Source organism: Homo sapiens, chromosome 11 (assembly GCF_000001405.40).
Source record: "Homo sapiens chromosome 11, GRCh38.p14 Primary Assembly".
Taxonomy (NCBI): domain Eukaryota; kingdom Metazoa; phylum Chordata; class Mammalia; order Primates; family Hominidae; genus Homo; species Homo sapiens.
In genome coordinates, this window is record NC_000011.10 from 73,593,062 (window position 1) to 73,615,569 (window position 22,508).

Sequence of the window (22,508 nt, forward strand, 5' to 3'; positions counted from 1 at the left end):
TATTTATAAAAAGTTGCAAAGGTAAAAAATATACTGTTTAGGGATATGCACATATTTGGTAAAAGTATAAAGAAAAGCAAAGAAATGATTCACATAAAATTTAGGAAACTGTTTATCTCTGAGGGAGAGAGAAGATGGGAGATTCAATCAAGTAGGACCTCACAAGAGGCTTTAAAGGTACTAGAAATCTCCTTTTTGTTAAGCTGGGTAGCAAGTAGAAAAGCCTTCAATTTGTTATTCTTTAAGTTGTGGGTTTATGTTAAATATACTTTTATACATATGACATATTTTACAATTTAAAAAAAGGATATAAATGGGGATGACAAATTAGAATTTGGGGGCTGTAACCCAGACTTTTCCACTGACTGTGTAACCTTAAACAAGTCATTTAACCTCTCAGAGCATAATTTTTCTTCTTATTTTATTAATGAGGAAGCTAACAGCTAACATCTGTTTAGGACTTTGGCATTTAAAGAACTGTTTAAAGTTCCTAGACTGTAAACATGCAAATATGCATGAGATCATAAAACAAAATCATACCTCATTAATAAATACCACAATACTAAGAACTCATTGGTAGGGCACACAAGGCTATTCACCATTCTAGCCTCTGCCTATCTTTCTAACAATAAAGGCAACAACTAATTTTTTTAATGTGTACTATAAAACATATTGTGTGAAATGCTTTCCATTGATTATCTTATTTAATCCTCAAAACAATCCTATGATGTTAATTCTATTATTCGCACTTTACAGATGAGCCCATTGTGCCCAACGTCACACAGCTAATAGTAAGTGGTAGACAGACTTCAAAACCCACATTTAACCATAGCATTCATTTTGCCTCACTTTTCTCACCGTATTTGTCTATCTTTCCCATGACACTGAAAGCTCCTTGACAACTGCTTTCTGTTCATTTTTATTTCCCCTGGCACTTAGCAGACATTCATTAAATAAATAAATAGTGAACAGATATTTCATATATGTACAGTGTTTTCAGGACATGAACTGGTTTGTTCCCCTTGACAGCCTTGTGAAGTATGAAAGTTTGATTGTGTGACAGGGTCTCATTCTGTAACCCAGACTGCAGTGCAGGGAAGCACGATCATGGCTCACTGCAGCCTTGACCTCCCTGGCTCAAGCAATCCTCCCACCTCCCTCCTGAGTATCTGGGATTACAGGTATACGCTACCACACCCAGCAAATTTTTTTTTTTTTTTGTGGAGACGGGTCTCCCTATGTTGCCCTCACTGGTCTCGAACTCCTAGGCTCAAGCAATACTCCCAGCTCAGCCTCCCAAAGTCTGGGATTATGGGCGTGAGCCACTATGCCTGGCCAGTTTTTTTGGTTTTTGAGGTTTTTTTGTGTGTGTATTTTTACCTTTTTAACCAAAGTTAAGTGTACAATTCAGTGGTATTAACTATGTTCACAATGTTTTGCAGCCATTACCACTAAATATGAAAGGTTTTTTGTTTGTTTTTTGTTTGTTTGTTTTGAGACAGAGTTTCGCTCTTGTTGCCTATGCTGGAGTGCAATGGCGCAATCGTGGCTCACTGCCCACCTCCCCAGTTCTAGCAATTCTCCTGCCTCAGCCTCCCAAGTAGCTGGGATTACAGGCACGTGCTACCAGCTAATTTTTGTATTTGTAGTAGAGATGGGGTTTTGCCATGTTGGCCAGGCTGATCTCAAACTCCTGACCTCAAGTGATCCACCCACCTCGGCCTCCCAAAGTGCTGGGACTACTGGCGTGAGCCACCACGCCTGGCCATCTGAAAGGTTTTTAATGACTTGACTGAAATCACTCAGCTTTCAAGTAGTAGAACTGGGATTTGAATCTGGGACTCAACTCCTAAACTCATGGGCTATTCGTTCCACAAAGGCTTCTGTCTATCAATACCTCCATCTGCTCTCTTCTCACCAAGATATCGGGAGGATCAAATGAGGTAAAGATACAAAAACACATTACTACTACACAGGTAACCACGGCTGTGGAAAAAAAAAATCCACCAACACATTTCTCCCAGGCACTTTTCATTTTGGGCTTTCAAAAGCTAGGGCTTTAATATAAACATCCCACCTCTAGACCAAGCCTGCAGATCTGCAAAAACAACGTCTAGACCTCAGAGTAAAGTTATGAGAGAAATGCTCACATTAGATTACAGTCTCACTGAATTACAGGTAACTGCTCAAACCTGATCTTTATTATAATACAGAAAGCTTCCTCATTACAAAACACTTTCAATTCAAAGGATAAGTCCAACGTTCCATCATTCTGCCCATTTTGGAGCTAAAAAAAAAAGATTCTAAATGGTATTTTTATATGCTCAATCGTGAAAGCCAAGGAAAATGGTTTGTTTGCGAGCTAAATTCTGAAGCTTGAACAAAAATAAAAAGAATTATTTCGATCCCAATGGTGCCAATTTTATCTTCTTTACATCCCTCCTCATTTTTTTTCAGTCTGAGCTCTAATCAACAGCCACTTTATGTTTAACATATTATCACAGTTAATGCAATTAGGTCCATAGAACTGTTTCTCTAAAGATGTTCCCTCCATTTGCACTCCTGTGTACCTTCCATTATCATCGTTCTGCCCTAAGAATGAGCATATCGCTAAGGTTTAAATCGAATTTCTGATGAATAGGTGGAGATGCTGTTTCTGTAGTTAATACAATGCGACTACATCAACATCATTCCCCAAAAAATAAAATAAAAATGACTCAATATGCTTTATTTATTCACATCTGACAGAATTCTGATCACCTGAATTCCTTTGGAAGAAAATTCAATCTTTAGAAATACAGTCCAATTATTCTAAATCTTATCAATGTCAAAAGACAATCATATGAAAAACTCCATCAGTACCAAACCATCTCACCAATGAATATTTATGACATTTCCATATTTCCTGTCTTCTCTGTTTACATAAAGCGGTGGTGCCAAGACTCATCTCAGGATTATTAGCCTGCAATACAATGATGGGCCTAATTGCCTTGCAAACCAGGACACTAACAAATGGCGTCTTCAAGCAATCAATTTAAAGAGGGGGTAAAAAAGGCCCAAGCTCTTTTTGCCTATGTGCTTGTTACCTACCTACAAAATAAATTCAGTCTCATATTTTTCAGGCTCACTCATTAGTTCTCAAGCAAGGAATGCACCCTTAACAATCTCAAGCTCATCAAATCTATTTAAATTTCAAAATGCCTGGCTAGTTTTTAAATACACCAGGAGGAGAGGGGAAAAGAAAAGGCAGAGACATCATATAGAAAGATATCCATTACATTCCAGTTTATCTTCTCCCACCTTTAGTTTGGAAGTATGCTTTTTTCCCCCAACTTACTTTTTATGATATACAAATAACAGAAGACACCCTCCCCTCCTTAATTCTACCTTAACTAAATCCCCTTTCAACTTTACCCTTTGGGCTGACTTGACTTCCAAATTTTACTAATATAAATAAAACAAACAAAAACATCACCCGAACAGATTAAAATGGCCCCTAAGAATGAGAAGGTCTCTTCCGTGTCCCCTGCAAAGTCCCCTCTAACAGCCTTACTGCCTCTCACCCAACCACAGCCACCAAGGCTGTTCATTTAAGTATTCCAACCCTTAACCCTCATGTGTCTCTTGGAGGCCACCCCAATCCTTCACCACCAAAATAATCCAACCCAATTCCCCCCTGCTCTCCAGCACAGCTCACTGTCCCTCTCCATCCTCTCTGCCCCATCCATACCAACAGCTCCAGGTCTCCCATTCCTTAAATTTCCCCTGTGCCACCTCACCATCAGCAACCACCTCCCCAGGCCTACCAGCTCATCTCCGAAAGTCCTTCTCCAAAACTCCCTCTGCCACCTTGGCCAAGGGATATTTTCTTCAAGATACCATCCCCCAACTTTGCTCACCCCTGCCGCTATCCTTTCAATGAAAGCAGCCCAGTGATGTTTTATGTGCCCTCTGCCTTGACTCTGCAACCAAGGAGCCACCATGCCCTTTCCAGTGATTGTAAGATCACCCTAAATCCAACCCACTGTGCCCCACACTCCATTTCCATCCCTGTCCTCCCATTTCGGGCCTGACTTCCAATGTGGCCCCTTCCTGCCAGCTCACCATCACACTCCCCTCACTGAATGTCCCACCTCCACCAACTCCTATTCCAACCTCCATCAGCCCACCCCAGGAAACCCCCAAATTGCACTCTTCTGCTCTATCCTAACCCATGCTATTCCATAAGTCTCCACAAATTCCACCAGCCCCAGATGACAAACACCCACTTCAAGCTTGGGTCTCAACCCATGCCAAGCCCCTCACCCCCAACTCCTGCCACCTCCATCATCCTGCCCCAGGTCCACCCCAAATTCCACCCTTCTGAATTAACACTACGCAGGGCCCTAACCAACCCTGTACATGCCACTCACTCTCCGTTGAAATCATTCCCCTGCCCCTCACCCCAGCTCAGATCCCAAGCTGTCAACTGCTCCAGGCCAAACCCAAATCACCACCCTCATTCAGTCCCCTCCCCCATTAAAAGCCATCCCACCCTAGTCTCATCTTCCACCTCGCCCCAAGACCATCCCGAATTCCAACCCGACGCCCCCACCCCACTCTCCTGTCCCAGGTTGGGTTATTCTCCATCAAAAGTCCTCCTCCCTTGTCGCCCGCCCCCCAACCTGCTTGGGTCCCACCCTCACCCCACCCCCGGCCAGCGCCTGGACAAGTCTCCCCCGCCAGCCCGCCGTTCCATCGCGACCTCAACCCCCTCCCCCCAACCTGCACGGGGGCTCCGCAGCCTCCCCTCTCATTCTCGCCAGCGCCACCGGCCCAGACTCAGGACCAGCGGACCCTGTGGCGGGGGGAGTCTCCTCACCGGTGAGCAGCTGCAGGCGAAAACGGCGGCGGCGGCGGCTGAGGCGGCGATGCCCTTGTCTTCTCCGGAGGCTACGGCGGCGACGCTCTCGCCCGTGTCCAGTAGGGTGGCGGATGGCGCGCGGGGACCGGAGCCTCCTCCTCAGCGACTCGGCTCTGAATCCTCTGCAGTAGCCGCCGAGGAGCCCGACGGGTGGGGGGAGGGGACGCTCGGCTGCGGGCGAGGGAGGAGGAGGCGGAGGGAGGAGGCGGGGGACCGCTCAGAAGGGCAGGGAAGGAGGAGCCGGCGCGGCGCCGCGACACGTCCCACAGCCTCAGAGCGCCGGGACCACAACTCCCGGCATGCCCTGCTTTAGCCCGCGCGCGGCCTGCGCCTCCCGCCGCGAGCCCGGTGCAGAGGGGCCGCGCCCTCTCCGGTCACGGACAGTGGAATAAAGCCAACCATCCGCTGGCGAATTTTGTAGACTCAAAGACCACCTGTGAGGAAAGTCAGGTCGCCCGAGGCCCCATCCCCAAGGGGCCGTACTCGCAGCGTCTCCATCCTCTTTGCATAGACACCCCCCTCCCCCCGCCCACACACACACACACACTCTCTGTCTCTCCCTCTCTCCCTCTCTCCCTCTCTCCCTCTCCCTCTCGTCTCTGTCTCTGGACTACACCTCCCAGCATGCCCCTCAGCTTCCTATTCTCCTTCCGGACCCTTCTCAGACCCGGTACTACAGTTCCCAGGGAGTGTGGTCCCTGCGAAATGCTGGGAGATGGAGTTCTCGGTTCTTCCTCCATGTTAAGAAAAAGAAGTGAAAGAGAGGCAAAAGGGAAGGAATACGCCAGCCCACCGAGGATGGGCCTTGATGGGCTAGATCACCTGTGATTCTGTTCATCCCTCGCCATCTCCGTTTCAGCTGTCTCTCACCAGAACTAATGCCGGAGCTTCCTCGCTGGTCTCCCTGCAAATTTGAGGACGATTCGGCAACTTGAATCCAAACGACAAAGGGCATATCCTCTTCTTGACCCAGCTCCATTACTTTTAAGAATTTACCTTAAAAAGATGATCGAACAATTTCGAAAAGATGAATGCACAAAGTTGTTATATGACGTAGTTAATTATGAAGGGAGTAAATGTTCATCGATAGGGTGCTGCTTAAATAAGACGTGACATATACATACAATGCAATACTAAGGAGCCATTTAAAATGATATAAATCTATTGACATGAAAAGCTATTCACAATTTATTCTTCGGGGAAAAAGTTGATTACACAACAGCATGTCTACACGAGTGCATTTATGTGAGGTTTGACACAATATTCTACAAGCATGGAGAGATTTCAGGAAAGAGGTTCGCCAAAATATTAGCAATGATTATCTTGGGGGAAAGGGTGTCAGATTGCACGTAGGTTTTTTTTGTTTTTTGAGACGGAGTCTGGATCTATAGCCAGGCTGGAGTAAAGTGGGGGCGATCGCAGGTCACTGCAACCTCTGCCTCCCGGGTTCAAGCGATTCTCCTGCCTCAGCCTCCTGAGTAGCTGGGACTACAGGCGCGCGCCACCACATCCAGCTAATTTTTGTATTTTTAGTAGAGATGGGGTTTCACTATATTGGCCAGGATGGTCTCGATTTCTTGACCTCCTGACCTGCCCGCCTCAGCCTCCCAAAGTGCTGGGATTACAGGCATGAGCCACAATGCCCGACTGTAATTTTTGTTTTCATATTGTTTGAATTGTTTAAAAGGAGCACATAACGACTGTTTTTTGTTTTCTTTTTTGTTTTGTTTTAATTGTAAGAGACGTCGTCTCACTATATTGCCCAGGCTGGTTTCAAACTCCTGGCCTCAAGAGACCCTCCTGCCTCAGCTCTCAAAAGTGCTGGGATTACAGGTGTGAGCCACACTACACCTGGACAATTTTTTAAGCTGTGCTACTTCCAAAAAACATAATTTCCAAATCTAACAACCTTTCTTTGCTGCCTAGATGCTTTCCATGGCTTCCCATTGTCTCATTCATGCTTCAGCACTGTGCCTGCCTGGTTTTAATAGTTCCACTATTAAAACAAATAATAGTAGTCACTTCCAATTCATAAAGTTGGAAGGGAGAATTTTCTCAATTTTCAATGCGTCTTCTCAAAATTTTTCCATTTCTGGTCTTTCCACACCCATTTTCTCCTTTTCTCTTACTCATTCTTCAAACTCAAGCCAAAGTCCTACCTTCCCTAGAACATATTTTAGACACACTGGTTTTCCTTATATCTGAATTCTTTTTTGTTTGTTTGTTTGTTTGTTTGTTTGTTTGAGACAGAGTCTTGCTCTGTCAGCCAGGCTGGAGTACAGTGGTGCAATCTCGGCTCACTGCAACCTCCGTCTCCCGGGCTCAAGCAATTCTCCTGCCTCATCCTTCCGAGTAGCTGGGATTACAGGCATGTGCCACCATGCCTGGCTAATTTTTTTTTGTATTTTTAGTAGAGATGGGGTTTCACCATGTTGGCCAGGCTGGTCTTGAACTCCTGACCTCAGGTAATCCGCCTGCCTCGGCCTCCCAAAGTGCTGGGATTACAGGCGTGAGCCACCGCTCCCGGCTTATCTGAATTCTTATAGCAGTGGTTTCTAATCTGTTGGCCAGAGATCACGGTGGGGAGAGGAAGTGAAGAGAGAGGTACAGAGTTATTGTAAAGGGCCTATGCAGCTCTGCCTACACAAAGCTATATGTCTTGCACTTTAAAAAAGTTTTTCTCTTCTTCTGACCCTTGTGTCCAGCTCTTCTAGAATACAGAATGTAGTATCAGATTATTTTTGATTTCACGATTTTTTTCATTTAAGCCCTGTTTGACTTGATATTTTCTTCTCTTTTTTCATTTTTTGAGACAGAGTCTCGCTCTGTCGCCCAGGCTGGAGTTCAGTGGCATGATCACAGCTCACTGCCGCAGCGACTCCCTGGGCTCATGTGATCCTCCCACCTCAGCCTCCCAAGTAGCGGGGACTACAGGCACCACCATGCCCGGCTAATTTTTCTTTTTTCTTTTTTTTTCTTATAGAGACAGGGTTTCGCCATGTTGCCCAAGGTGGTCTCAAAGTCCTGGACTCAAGTGATCTGCCCACCTCGGCCTCCCAAAGTACTGAGATTACAGGCATGAGCCACTGCGCCCAGCAGAATTTGATATTTTCAATTTTATATGCCATTGTTCCTTGGTGTTCTGTAAGAACAACTAGGACACTTTAGCTCTGCTACAGGCCTACAGGAAAAAGCCCAGGTTGCTTAGCTCAGAGGATGACTTAGTCCCCATCCCGCTGCAGCGTCTCTAGCTTCACCCCACCTCACTCTAGTTAGACTCCTGTCCCTCAGGACTCACTTTCCCCAAATACATCAGGCACTCTCTTTTTCAAACTGCCCATCTCCCTTTACATCCTATTCTCCCAGCCTTAAAATCTCAGCCCCTCTTCTCCCTTTTCTGAGAATAATGAGAAAGATACCTATCATATGTTGGTGATATGTGACAAACAAGTCTCTTCCTCTTAGTGTTACACTGACCTTGCCCTCTTCTAAACCCCATCTTCTCCTCTTCCATTTCCCCACTTCTTTCTCCTAGTGGCACAAAGTAGGGGCTAGGCGGTCTACCTAGTAGGGGCTAGCTTGGTCTATCCAGCAAGTAAAGCATTGTCTGAGTTAGGAGAATAAATAGGTATGAGAAGCTTACTGGACTAGTAATCTGAGAATCAGATCCTAAATTAGAACTTGCCATAAACATGATGGGTGACATTTAGTAAGTCCCTTAACTTTTCGAAATCTCAGTTACTATAATACATCCGCAAAATGGAAGGAATGAGTCCCGCCTGCCCTGCCACCTCATAAGGTTATTAGGAGAATCCAGTGAAAGAATGGGTGTGAAAGTGCTTTAAAGACTGTAAAATACCACTTACAGTCCAAACCCTTCATCTAACCATTTGAGAATTCTCTCTCTAAATCCCTGCAAAATCATGATATGTAAACTTTCAACTCTGATTTATATCAACATTAATGAATTTATGAAAGTTTTAAAGAAATGAACTATATTAAACCAATTTAATTCCTGGATAAGTTTTTGATATAGCACAGTTAAGTGATTTCTAACTTTTAAAAATATTTTTCTATACTGAATTTTTATCAAGAGATATATATATATACTTTTTTTTTTTTTTGAGATGGAGTCTCTCTCTGTCGCCCAGGCTGGAGTGCAGTGGCGCGATCTTGGCTCACTGCAAGCTCTGCCTCCTGGGTTCACGCCATTCTCCTGCCTCAGCCTCCTGAGTAGCTGGGACTACAAGCGCCCGCCACCACGCCCAGCTAATTTATTTGTATTTTTAGTAGAGACGGGGTTTCACCGTGTTAGCCAGGATGGTCTCGATCTCCTGACCTCGTGATCTGCCTGCCTCAGCCTCCCAAAGTGCTGGGATTACAGGCGTGAGCCACCACGCCTGGCCTCAAGATATATTATTTAGCAGCTCGGTGCTGTGGCTCATGCCTATAATCCCAGCACTTTGGGAGGCCAAGACAGAAGGATCCCTTGAGGCCAGGAGTTCAAGACCAGCCTGGGCAACACAGTGAGACCCCATCTCTTCAAAAAATAGAAAAATTGGGCTTAGCATCATGCCTCACGCCTGTAATTCTAGCACTTTCGCAGGCCGAGATGAGCGGATCGCTTGAGGTCAGAAGTTTGAAACCACCCTGGCCAACATGGTAAAACCCCGTCTCTACTAAAAATACAAAAAATTAGCCAGGTGTGGTGGTGCGCACCTGTAGTCCCAGCTACTCAGGAGGCTGAGGCAGAAGAATCACTTGACTTGAACCTGGGGGTCAGAGCCTGCAGTGAGCAGAAATCGTGCCACTGCACTCCAGCCTGGATGACAGAGTGAGACTTCATCTCAAAAACATAAATAAATAAAATAGAAAAACTGGCTGGGTGTGGTGGCACGCACCTGTAAGTTCTAGCTGATCAGGAGGCAGAGGCGAGAGGATCACTTGAGTCCAGGATTTTAAGGCTGCAGCGAGCCATGATTGCACCACAGCACTCAAGCCTGGGTGACAGAGCAAGACTCTATCTCTAAAAAATAATAAAAAAAGATATATTCTTTATGAATTTTACAACAAAAAAATTTGATTCACCCAACAGTTTTATTTTTATCTATTTTTACTGATTATTGGTGGGTTATAATGAAATTTCTTTGTTAGTCATTATTTCTACCAAGTCCACCTTTTCCTGACAGTAATTTGAACCATTGTTGGATTTATCTTGTATTGATTATTTCTAAGTAGAATTTTCCCAGGGAACAACTTTGCAGATTGCAGTGTTACCAGCAAAGATGGGATCATTCAGTTTGCTTTTTTATCCATAGTAAATTTCATCATGTGTAGATTTAGCCATTGTCAGTTTAATTTTGTGTTGATTATTTCTACCATAATTTTTTTCTGCAACCCCATCAAAACAAACTCGAAGTCAAAATGACAGTGTCAAAACGCTATCCTTTGCCTGTTACTATCTGATTAACTTGTACTTTGCAAGGGTTTTCTCCCAGCTGTGTTAACATGCTTCTTTGCCACCTCTTTCTCAAAGCATCTCTTCGGGAGCTTTGGCACATATGCGTCAGCTTTACTTTAAGAATTGCTCTAGGCCAGGCGTGGTGGCTCATGCCTGTATTCCCAGCACTTTGGGAGGCTGAGGCGGGTGGATCACTTGAGGTCAGGAGTTCGAGATCAGCCTGGCCAACATGGCAAAACCCCGTCTCTACTACAAATACAAAAATTAGCTGGTAGCACATGCCTGTAATCCCAGCTACTTGGGAGGCTGAGGCAGGAGAATCGCTTTAACCGGGGAGGCGGAGGTTGCAGTGAGCCGAGATGGTGCCATTGCACTCCAGCCTGGGCAACAAGAGTGAAACTCCATCAAAAAAAAAAAAAGAATTGCTCTAGAATCACAGGAAAATGGACATTAGAGATCATGCTAGGAGAACTGATCTTGAATGAAGCAGGTATTATGCTGGTGTCTTAAGATCCATTATCTCATTAAATCTTTCAGCTTAAACATCCCTCACATGTCCATTTTATAGTAGAGGAAATTGAGACCGGGAGAGAGGAAGGGATTGGCCACACTAGGATTAGAACCAGGCCTTGGTTTAATCCTCAGTGCAATTGGAATGATTATAAATTCCAAAGTTATCTCATTTAATTTAAAAACTTTTGTAATGATCTTATTGGAAAATTAAATATAATTTTTCAGTTTAGCTAAGACTTAAAACAAGAGAAATCACATGAATATAAACAGAGCACTCTCAAAGAGCTTTTTGTCACAGCAAATGAGACAAGAGGTGTGAAAATGTTTTGTAAATGACCCAACACTGGGCAAATGGAAGTTATTGCCATTTATGCTGAAGACTATTATATAAACCTGCTATGCCTGCTTGCCAGAGTGTTAGAAAGCTAACAGCATACCATTAATATCGACAGATGAGTATCAAATGCCCATCCTAATATTTAATTATAATAACCAATATTAAAAGCAGAAAATTGCATCCTGCTTATCCTCAAGACCTAATTCAGACATCAAAAAGCATCTGCTGACCTCTGGCTAGGTTAGAAGTCCACTCTGGGCTCCCACAGCTCTGCTCACATTCTGCGATCATTGTCTATATGCTGCCCCCAAGGACAAGGCTTAAGGTGGTCTGATCCACCTCTGTGGCCCAGAGCTCAGTCCAGCTCAGGGCTTCTCACAGGGTAAGGGTTCAATAAATGGTGGTTGAATTAATGAATCAATCAATTAACATGACAAGTATATAGACTATATAATCAATTAGAATGACAAGGGAAAAGTACACATTAAATAAAGTTAAGGGCAAGAGTGAATCACGAATCTGCATGAACTGATTACAGACACTGAAACTCTTGTACAGCAGCAACTATACAAGGAAGGAGCCTTGATGTTCTAGGTTCAATTCCTGCCTCAGCCACTTCCTAGCTGGGTGTCCTCTGTCAATTCACTGCCCCGGATGTGCCTGTTTCCACATCTGTAAAATGATCAACCTGGCCCAGTGCAGTGGCTCACACCTGTAATCCCAGCACTTTGGGAGGCTGAGGCAGGCAGATTGCATGAGCCCAGGAGTTTGAGACCAACCTGGGCAACACAGTGAGACTCCATGTCTACAAAAAATACAAAAATTAGCTGGGTGTGCTGGTGTACATCTGTAGTCTCAGCTACTCAGGAGGCTGAACGGGAAGGATTGCTTGAGCCTGAAAGATTGAGGCTGCAGTGAGCCAAGATCATACCACTGCACTCCAGTCTGGGCGACAGAGCAAGACCGTATCTCAAACAAACAAACAATCAAAAGCCAACCTTGGAGACCTCCTAGGGCAGATAAAATTGTTAACTAAGGTAATAGATGCTTTGCATGTCATGAAGAGCTGATAGAGTGAGAATTGTTACTGACAAAGACCAGAAGATAATCTGGAGGGAAATGGTTGGAGTATAAGTCTAGCAGGATCCTTTACATAAAATCCCTCAAGTTCATAAAGTTGGGAAAAAAAAGTATACCAATTGTAGCAGGTTGAATTGTGTCTCCCCAGAAGATATTGACCAAGTCTTAACCCCCATATTTGTGAATGTGACCTCATTTGAAAGCAGGGCCCACGGTGGTCCGATGCATCTCTGTGGCCCAGAGTTGGTCTAGGTAGATATAATTAAGAAAGGATCTTGGGATGAGATCCTCCTGGATTTAGGTGGTCCCTAAATCCAATGACCGATGTCTTCATAAGAGAAAGCTCTGTGCCTGAGACATAGAGCAGAAGGCTATGTGAGAATGGAAGCAAAGATCAGAGTCAGGAAGCCCCAAGCCAAGGAATGCCAAGAATACTGGCAGCCACCAGAAGCTGAGAGGCATGGAACCGATTCTTCCTCAGCACCTCCAGAAGGAACTAATCCTGCAAACACCTCGGTTTCAGACTTCTGATCTCCACAGCTGTGAGAGAATACACATCTGTTGTTTTAAGCCACCCAGTTTATGGTAATTTGTTAAGGCAACTTTAGGAAACAAATACACCAATTAAGTTGGGTTAGGAAACTAATACACCAATTAAATTGGAAACCCATGAAATCAAATAATTAGCAAGTATTTTAAGCCCCAGATTCAGAGGAGCCTGTTTTGGTAAATGTTCATCAGTTCTGGGCCGGGCGCGGTGGCTCACGCCTGTAATCCCAGCACTTTGGGAGGCCAAGGTGGGCAGATCACCTGAGGTCGAGAGTTCAAGACCAGTCTGACCAACAATGGTGAAACCCAGTCTCTACTAAAAATACAAAAAAAATTAGCCAGGTGTGGTGGCTGGCACCTGTAATCCCAGCTACTCAGGAGACTGAGGCAGGAGAATCTCTTGAACCCAGGAGGCAGAGGTTGCAGTAAGCGGAGACTGCGCCAGTGCACTCCAGCCTGGGCGCCACAGAGCGAGACTCCGTCTCAAAAAACAAAAACAAACAAAAAAAATGTTCATCAGTTCCATTTAATTTGTCATCCCTAACAGCAGCTATGGAAAACTGATGTTAACATTCATTGTCTTTGAATCTGTGCCTTTTCTCTTTTTAAGTCCTATTGTACTCTTAGTTCTTGCCTTGTCTCCTGGGATAGCCAATATTTCTAATTAATGTGTGAAAAACTCTGATGTCATACAAAGTGCACAGAGACAGGGAGGCCAGACCTGGATTCATACCCCACCTGAGTAACTTACAGGCTGTGACACTGGAAAAATATCTTCTCCTTACTGGACCTCTATGTCCTAAATTGTAAGATGTGATTATCGTTATCTCCTTCACAGGATGAAATGAGTTAATTCATGGAAAACCCAGTGCCTAATCCAGGACTTTCATAACTTTGCCTTGTACAGAGAGCAAGAGAGATCTGGGGGCAGGGGACAGGAGGAGGTGGTATTTGCTTGTTTGTTTCTGGAGTTATGTTTGAATGATGGGAGATAGGGAACAAGGGAGCCACCAATTTTCATTTTAGCTAGAAGGTGGGAAGTCTCTCCCAAAAAAGGGTCAGAACTGAAGGGCTTTTATTCCCAGAAGAGCTGAGTTTCCTCCAGCTGGAAGGTGATGAACAACATTGAATATTTATTCATTTTTCACTCAGCTTAAAGTACGAACCAGGTCTTTTGCTGGTGCCAGGGGCCTAAGGCAGACTCAAGCGTGGCTTTGTCTCCAAGGAACTCACACTCTAAGGAATACACTGACACAATTACATCCCAGCGTAATCAACGCCGTGGCAGAAGAGAGCGAGGGGCTGCAGGAACCCAGAAGAAACACCAGGCCAAGCCCAGTGTTACCACCTGCACATTCTCCTCCAGCTGCTGTAAACTCCACAATGGCAGTGGCTCACACCTGTAGTTCCAGCACTTTGCGAGGCCAAGGTGCAAGGATCGCTTGAGTTTAGGAGTTGGAGACCAGCCTGGGCAACGTGGCAAAACACTGTCTCTACAAAAAATAAAAATAAAAAAATTAGCCAGGTGTGGTGGGGCACACCTGTGGTCCCAGCTACCCAGAAGGGAGGATCACTTGAGCCTGAGAGGTCAAGGCTACAATAAGCTATGATCGCACCACTGTACTCCAGCCTTGAAAACAGAGTGAGACCCTGTCTCAAAAAAATAAATAAGTAACAAGATTTCACTGCCAATTTAAGTTTGACTGCCAAAAGTTTATTGTAATGATGAGCACAAATAATATTTTGAGATATCTGCAACAATTGTGATATGAAAACACCTGTGATTTCTGTTAGTGACAAAGTCACAAGTACTGTGGCACTGCAGTTTGACTGTGGTTTGTTATGTATATTCAGAATTGGAGGAAATACTAAATTTCTGTAAATATAAATGAATGTAAAAATGTAACTTTCCCATCCAAGATTGTGGAGCCCCTGAGTTCTCTCTGTGGACTCTCAGATAGGTTCCAGGTAAAGAATCTCTCTCACAATTAGTTGGACAAGAGCAGGGTATCTGGGGAGGAATGACAAAGATTGAGGGTTTGTGCCTGTGACAGTGATTTTTAATCAGGTGTTACATTGAAGAGGTAGTGGGATAGAGTTGGCAGAGACTAAAGAGCCAGACAGAATTTAATTCCAATCCTCCTCCCAGTCTGTCCTTGCACCAAACCAAGCTATGTGATCTTGGGTATAAGTCATTTCACCTTTCTGAAAAATGCAGAGACTGACATATAACCTCATTTAAGAGAGTCCAATGTAAATTTCTCATCAACTCTAAAGCTCTGCACAGAGACAAACAAGACACAAATATTTTGTGTTTTGTTTTATTTTGTTTACATTTGTATTGTTTTGGTTTTTATTAAGGAAGTAAGCTCTAGAAATGTTGGCAGGAGGCACTTAAGGATGTCAGGGTGGAGTAGAGCAGAGTGGACAAGATCAGGAGAAGTTGTCTCAGGATGGAACAACCTAGCACTTCTCAGAGAATATACTCTAAGTAAGCAAAACAGTACAGAGAGCGGGGCTGAGGCAGGAAAGCCTCCCAGAGGGAAAAGCTGGGAAGCTGGAGCCCCCACAAAGGCCAAGGCTGTGTCCAAATACCTGTGTTGTTTTATGTTCTTGTTCATAAAATCCAATAGATAGGCCAGGCACAGTGGCTCACGCGTGTAATCCCAGCACTTTGGGAGGCTGAGGCAGGCAGATCACTTGAGGCCAGGAGTTCGAGACCAACCTGACTAACATGGTAAAACCCCATCTCTACTAAAAAATACTAAACTTATCCGGGCGTGATGGTGCGCACCTGTAGTCTCAGCTACTCGGGAGGATGAGGCACAAGAATCCCTTGAACCTGGGAGGCAGAGGTTGCAGTGAGCCGAGATTGCGCCACTGCACTCCAGCCTGGGCAACAGAACAAGACTCCGTCTCAAAAAAAAACCAAAAACCAAAAAATAAATAAAATAAAATCCAATAGATAGAAAAGTTCTATTAATTCCTAATGTTTTGCAAGAGTACTTCATTAAAAAAATATAAAACATTGCAGAGTGTTGAAAATCTCTGTTCCTCTGTATCCTGTATTAGCTGTAAATTGATAATTAGTTCAAGAGACTTGATTAAGGCCGGGCGCGGTGGCTCACACCTGTAATCGCGGTGGCTCACGCCTGTAATCCCAGCACTTTGGGAGGCAGAGGCGGGCGGATCACGAGGTCAGGAGATCGAGACCACGGTGAAACCCTGTCTCTACTAAAAATACAAAAAATTAGCCAGGCGCAGTGGCGGGCACCTGTAGTCCCAGCTACTCGGGAGGCTGAGGCAGGAGAATGGCGTGAACCTGGAAGGCGGAGCTTGCAGTGAGCCGAGATCCCGCCACTACACTCCAGCCTGGGCGACAGAGCAAGACTCCGTCTCAAAAAAAAAAAAAAGAGACTTGATTATTCTCAAGTATAATATGGGGAAAAGATACCCCATATGGTGTAGTATACTTTCATCAGAGGCAAATAATGTGAAACTGTTTCTGTCTTGAGGATGTTATCGTTCACTGATGATGATTCCTAGATCCAGTAATCTATTAAATGTTTCAAAATGGTGACATTATAATTCTATCATCTCCTCTTCCTTTACTAGCTGGAATTTTTCTTCTCTTCATCAACTATTTAATTACCCTGAAGTATGTAATTCATTCAGAAAAGACTACAATAAATGCTTGATACTTTCCTTTATTTGCCGATTTTCTGAACAATTAGTTCATAGCATTCTCTAAAGGTGACCAATGAGTTTTTGTTTTTGTAGTATCATTACGAATTCCTGGATTTAAATATGTGTAATGTATTTTCATCCACTGCAGTTAGTATTCTTGGCTCCAGCTAAGCTTAGCGGGAGCTTCTTCAATGTGGCTCCTGACACAACCCCCAATGGCCTTTGACAGATTCCTTGATTCCTGGTTCAGCAAGACCTTCCAAGCTCACTTTGCATTTCCTTCCCTGAATATAGAATCTAAGTAAGCAAAACAGTAGAGAGAGCGGGGCTGAGGCAGGAAAGCCTCCCAGAGATAAACCAAGAAGCCCTGGTTTATTTAATGGCACTTACAGTCTAGGTCTAAGTGCTTATTGTTATTGGTTAGTCATTGTTTCTGGGCTTTTCTTTTTAGTGGATGAAGTTGGGAAATAACTTGTTTTTTCGGCCGGACGCGGTGGCTCACGCCTGTAATCCCAGCACTTTGGGAGGCCAAAGTGGGCGGATCACGAGGTCAGGAGATGGAGACCATCCTGGCTAACACGGTGAAACCCCGTCTCTACTAAAAATACAAAAAATTAGCTGGGCATGGTGGCGGGCGCCTGTAGTCCCAGCTACTCGGGAGGCTGAGGCAAGAGAATGGCGTGAACCCGGGAGGCAGAGCTTGCAGTGAGTGAGCTGAGATCACGCCACTGCACTCCAGCCTGGGCGACAGAGTGCGACCCTGTGTCAAAAAAAAAAAAAAAAAGAAATAAAGAGAAATATGTAGAGAGAGTCCATTCTCTGTTCTTTTTTTACAGCTGCATCATATTGCATTCTATAGATGGATTTTTGCTAATTTTGAGAGTGAGAAATTGTTTCTCAGTGTAGTTTTACTTTGCGTTTCTCTTATTATGAGCAAGGTAGGTCGTCAGGTCGTCTTTTCATAAGCTTAAGGATTATTTGCATTTCTTTCTCGATAAACTCTGTTTCTGGTCTTTTTCCTTTTTCTTTTCTTTTTTTTTTTTCTTTTTTTTTTTGAGACAGAGTTTCACTCTGTTGCCCAGGCTGGAGTGCAGTGGTGCGGTGGCGCAATCTCGGCTCACTGCAACCTCTGCCTCCCAGGTTCAAGCGATTCTCCCGCCTCAGCCTCCCGAGTAGCTGGGATTACGGGCACCCACCACCACACTTGGCTAATTTTTATATTTTTAGTAGAGATGGGGTTTTGCCATGTTGGCCAGGCTGGTCTTGAACTCCTGACCTCAGGTGATCCACCCACCTCAGTCTCTTAAAGTGCTGGGATTACAGGCGTGAGCCACCTCACCTGGCCTTCTATTTTTTTGGGTGGGGGTGGGGGTGGGGATGGGGGTGGAGACAGAGTCTCGCCCCATCACCCAGGCTGGAGTGCAGTAGCACAATCTCAGCTCACTGCAACCTGTACCTCCTGGGTTCAAGCAATTCTTGTGCCTCAGCATCCTGAGTAGCTGGGACTACAGGCATGGGCCACCACACCTGGCTAATTTTTGTATTTTCAGTAGAGACTGGATTTCGCCAGGTTGACCAGGCTGGTCTCAAACTCCTGTCCTCAAGTGATCCACCTGCCTCAGCCTCCCAAAGTGCTGGAATTACAGGCATGAGCCACCACGCCTGGCCACTTGCCCATTTTTTTTCCTAAAGGATTGCTGCCATCTTTTTAAAGCTTTTTAGTCTGAAAAAATAATATACTTGAAGAAAGCTGCAAAAATAGTACATAGAAAAAAATAAACATAAGAATAAATAGTACATAGAGTCCCATGTACCCTTCATCCAGCTTCCACCAATAGTGACATCTTATATAATGGTAGTGTAATATCAAAACCAAGAAATTTACATTGGTAATTTTTTTTTTTTTTGAGGCAGGGTCTCATTCTGTTGCCCAGCATGGAATGCAGTGATGCTATCATGGCTCACTGTAGCCTCAATCTCCTGGGCTCAAGCAATCTTCCCACCTCAGCCTCCTGAGTAGCTGGGACTACAGGCACGTGCCACCACACCCGGCTAATTTTTAAATTTATTGTAGAGACAGGGTCTTGTTATGTTGCCTAGGCTGGTCTAGAACCCCTGGGCTCACGTAATCCTCTTGGCGTTGGCCTCTCAGAATACTGGGATTATAGTTGTAAGCCATCGTGCCTGGCCAGTAAAATATTTTTAACTAAACTACAGACTTGGTTAAGTTTTCACCATTTTTCACGTGCATTAATTTGTGTGTGTGTGTGTGTGTGTGTGTGTGTGTGTGTATAATTCGATGAGATTTCTTACATACAAATTCATGTACCGCCACCACAGTCAAGATACAAAACTGATCCATGCACTACAAAGGAACTCCCTTGTGCAGTCCCTCCTCCCTTGTCCCCTGGCAACTACTAGTAAGTTCATCTCTCTGGTTTTGTCATTTAGGAAATGTAACCTTTTGAGATTGACTTTTCATTAAGCACAACCCCCTTGAGATCCATCTAAATTATTACATGCATCAATAGTTCATTCTTTTTGATGACTGGATAGTATTCCATCATGTGGATGTCCCAGAGTCTGTTTAGCCATTTACTCATTGAAGGATATCTGGATTGTTTCCAGTTTTTTTTTTTTTGTATTATGAATAAAATAAAGCTCTATGCACATTCATGTATAGGTTTTTGTGTGAACAAAAGTTTTTATTTCTCTGGGATACATGCCTAACAGTATGATTGCTGGGTCATATGATAAGTGCATGTCTAGTTTTACAAGAAACTGCCGGCCAGGCGTGGTGGCTTACGCCTATAACCCCAGCACTTTGGGAGGCTGAGGTGGGTGGATCACCTGAGGTCAGGAGTTTGAGACCAGCCTGGCCAACGTAGTAAAACCCCATCTCTACTAAAAATACAAAAAACTAGTCGGGAGTAGTGACGCACGCCTGTAGTCCAAGCCACTTGGGAGACTGAGGCAGGAGAATTGTTTGAACCCAGGAGGCGGAGGTTGCATAGAGCCAAGTTCATGCCACTGCACTCCAGCCTGGGTGACAGAGCGAGATTCCATCTCAAAAGAAAAAAAAAACTGCCAAACTGTTTGCCACAGTGACTGTATCATTTTATGTTCCCACCAGCAATGCATGATGATTCAATTTCTCTACATTCTCATCAGCATTTGGTGTTATCACTTTTTTTTTAAGTCTACCTGTTCTAATAGCTATGTCCCGAAACCTCATTGTGGTTTAAAGGGTTGTTCTTTTTCCCTCTATTTTCAGAAAGTCTTTATATATTGTGAACAATCACCCTTTGTCAGTCAAAACTGATTTCAAAGAGGGTAAGAAGTCTGTGTTTCAGGCCGGGCGCCATGAGTCACAACTGTAATCTCAGCACTTTGGGAGGCTGAGGCTAGTGGATTTCTTGAGCTCAGGATTTCAAGACCAGCCTGCGCAACATGGGGAGATCCCATCTCTACAAAAAAAAAAAAAAATTCAATTTGTGGGGCATGGTGGCATGCACCTATTGTCCCAGCTACTCAGGAGGCTGAGGTGGGAGAATCACTTGAGCCCAGGAGATCAAGGCTACAGTGAGTTACGATCTCACCACTGCATTATAGCCTGAGTGACAGAGTGAAACCCTGTCTCAAAAAAAAACTTATACGCTACATAATCGACAGAAAAAACAAAAACTGAAAATGGCTAAATCATATACAGTGAAATTACTTATTGACTAAAAGTTGATGGAAAAATCAAAAAAATGTTGGCTGGGCGATGATGGCTCATGCCTGTAAACCCAGCAAGTTGGGAGGCTGAGGTGGGCAGATCACCTGAGGTCAGGAGTTCGAGACTAGCCTGATCAACATGGTGAAACCCCGTCTCCACTAAAAATATAAAAATTAGCCGGGCACAGTGACGCATGCCTGTAATCCCAGCTACTCAGAAGGCTGAGACAGGAGAATTGCTTAAACCCGGGAGTCGGAGGTTGCAGTGAGCCGAGATCACACCATTGCACTCCAGCCTGGACAACAAGAGTGAAACTCTGTCTCAAAAAAAAAAAAAAAAAAATCTTGACAAAGTGCAGATTTGCAAAATTCATCCCAGAAAAAGTGGACCTGATAGAAGATAGAAATAATGACCACAGGCCAGACGTGGTAGCTCACACGTGTAATCCCAACACTTTGGAAGGCTGAGATGGGCGGATTGCTTGAGCCCAGGAGTTCAAGACTAGCCTTGTCAACATGGTGAAACTCTGTTTCTACAAAAAAATACAAAAATTAGCTGGGTGTGGTGGCACACACCTGTAGTTCCAGCTACTCAGGAGACTGAGCTGGGAGGATCGCTTGAGCCTGGGAGGTTGAGGCTGCAATGAGCCATGATTATGTTACTGTACTCCAGCCTGACAGAGTGAGGTGAGACCCTGTATCAAAAAAAAAAAAAGACCACAAAAGATAACTTACAATGGCAAGAGCTATAATTATTAAGCTGTGACATAGATTTTTAAGATTGATGGATGACTCAAATAATCATAAAATTTATATTGAAAATCATTTTTCAGATGAAGATAATTGAGTTCAAATTAAATGAAAATGGATAAGTCAGAAATAGATTTCACAGGCTATGTAGAAAATCAAAGGTATTGAACTGATCTAATGGCATTTGTTCTGGTAAATATTCTCAGTGAAAAATAATCAATATGATGTAATTCTATCTAAAAGCCTATATTCATAAACACAAGACAAAAACATCTGTAGGGTCAAAGAGGAATTCAAATAGCCTGACACCCTGCTGGAACTCCAAAGAGAAAACAGAAATGGAGACAGTGGCCAAGCATTTCCTGATTTATGTTTTGTTTTGTTTTGTTTTGTTTTGTTTTGTTTTGTTTTGTTTTGTTTTGTTGAGACAGGGTCTCACTCTGTAACCCAGACCGGCATAATCTTGGCTCGTTGCAGCCTCAAGCTGCCTGGGCTCAGGTGATCCTCCCACCTCAGCCTCCTGAGTAGCTGGGACTACAGGTGTGCATCACCACACCCAGCTAATGTTTGTATTTTTTGTAGAGATGGGGTTCCACCATGTTGCCAAGGCTGGTCTGGAACTCCTGGGCTCAACTGATCTTTCCACCTTGGCCTCCCAAAATGCTGAGATTACAGGTGTGAGTCACTGTGCCTGCTGATTAATGTTTTGTCAAGGATATTTATTTGATTATTTCATCAAAAAAACTTTCACTGTATGCAGTTTTACTGTTGTAAGTTTCATTTTTTTCTGTTGATTATGTAGTGGTTACTGCTTACCTAGTAAAGGCCCCTACCTTGGGGCCCCATGTTTTAATACCTCCTTTGTCTATTCATCTCTCTGTCCATTCAGCAGATATTTAGCAAGTGCCTACTCTTTGCCAGGCCCTGGCAGAAGAATCAATCCAAATCCATGCCCTCAACTAATAACAGTTTTACTTACTTATCGATCGATTGATTGATTGATTGATTGATATGGGGTCTCCCCCTGTTGTCCAGGCTGGAGTGCAGTGGCACAAACATATTTCACTGCAACCTGAGGTCCTGGGCTGAAGGCATCCTCCTGCCTCAGCCTCCTCAGTAGCTGGGACTACAGGCGTGTGAGACACCGTGTCCAACTAATTTTCATATTTTTTGTAGAGACAGAGTCTCATTATGTTGCTTAGGTGGTCTCAAGCTTGTGGGTTCCAGCGATCCTCCTACCTCGGCTTCCCAAAATGCTGAGATTACAGGCACGTGTCATCATGCTGGGCTATTTGTTTTCTTTCTAATTCTACATCTTTTTTTGTCTCATTGAGGAGAGCCTCAAGTACAATGTTGAATAGAAGTGGTAATAGTGGGAACCCTTTTTCATTCTTTTCTTAGGTGTTTATCTCACCAGTATGATGTTTGATGTAGGTGTTTTGTGCAAGCTGTTTATTAGATTAAAGAAGTTTCCTTCTATTCTTAACTTGAAAAGAATCTTATAATAAATA

The 22,508-nt window shown here is 44.0% G+C and overlaps 1 protein-coding gene across 3 annotated transcripts in view, besides 4 other annotated features; it reads right to left on the reverse strand.

Annotated features, from left to right (window-relative positions):
* Window positions 1–5,051, reverse strand: part of FAM168A (family with sequence similarity 168 member A) — a 197,626-nt gene extending 192,575 nt beyond the window's left edge. For all 3 annotated transcript variants that reach the window (NM_001286051.2, NM_015159.3, NM_001286050.2), the window contains exon 1: window positions 4,862–5,051. The gene's annotated coding sequence lies outside the window, so the exon portion shown is untranslated. The remainder of the gene's footprint in view (window positions 1–4,861) is intronic.
* Window positions 4,385–5,113: an enhancer, noted in NCBI's record as "H3K27ac hESC enhancer chr11:73308491-73309219 (GRCh37/hg19 assembly coordinates)". NCBI's record gives its function as "activates a minimal SCP1, AML or CMV promoter by ChIP-STARR-seq in naive H9 embryonic stem cells {active_cell/tissue: H9 hESC(naive)}" and the evidence as "EXISTENCE:reporter gene assay evidence [ECO:0000049][PMID:30033119]".
* Window positions 4,385–5,134: a biological region, named in NCBI's record as "H3K27ac hESC enhancer GRCh37_chr11:73308491-73309219".
* Window positions 5,005–5,134: a silencer, noted in NCBI's record as "silent region_3744". NCBI's record gives its function as "represses an Ori minimal core promoter by ATAC-STARR-seq in GM12878 lymphoblastoid cells {active_cell/tissue: GM12878}" and the evidence as "EXISTENCE:reporter gene assay evidence [ECO:0000049][PMID:35858748]".
* Window positions 5,265–5,494: a silencer, noted in NCBI's record as "silent region_3745". NCBI's record gives its function as "represses an Ori minimal core promoter by ATAC-STARR-seq in GM12878 lymphoblastoid cells {active_cell/tissue: GM12878}" and the evidence as "EXISTENCE:reporter gene assay evidence [ECO:0000049][PMID:35858748]".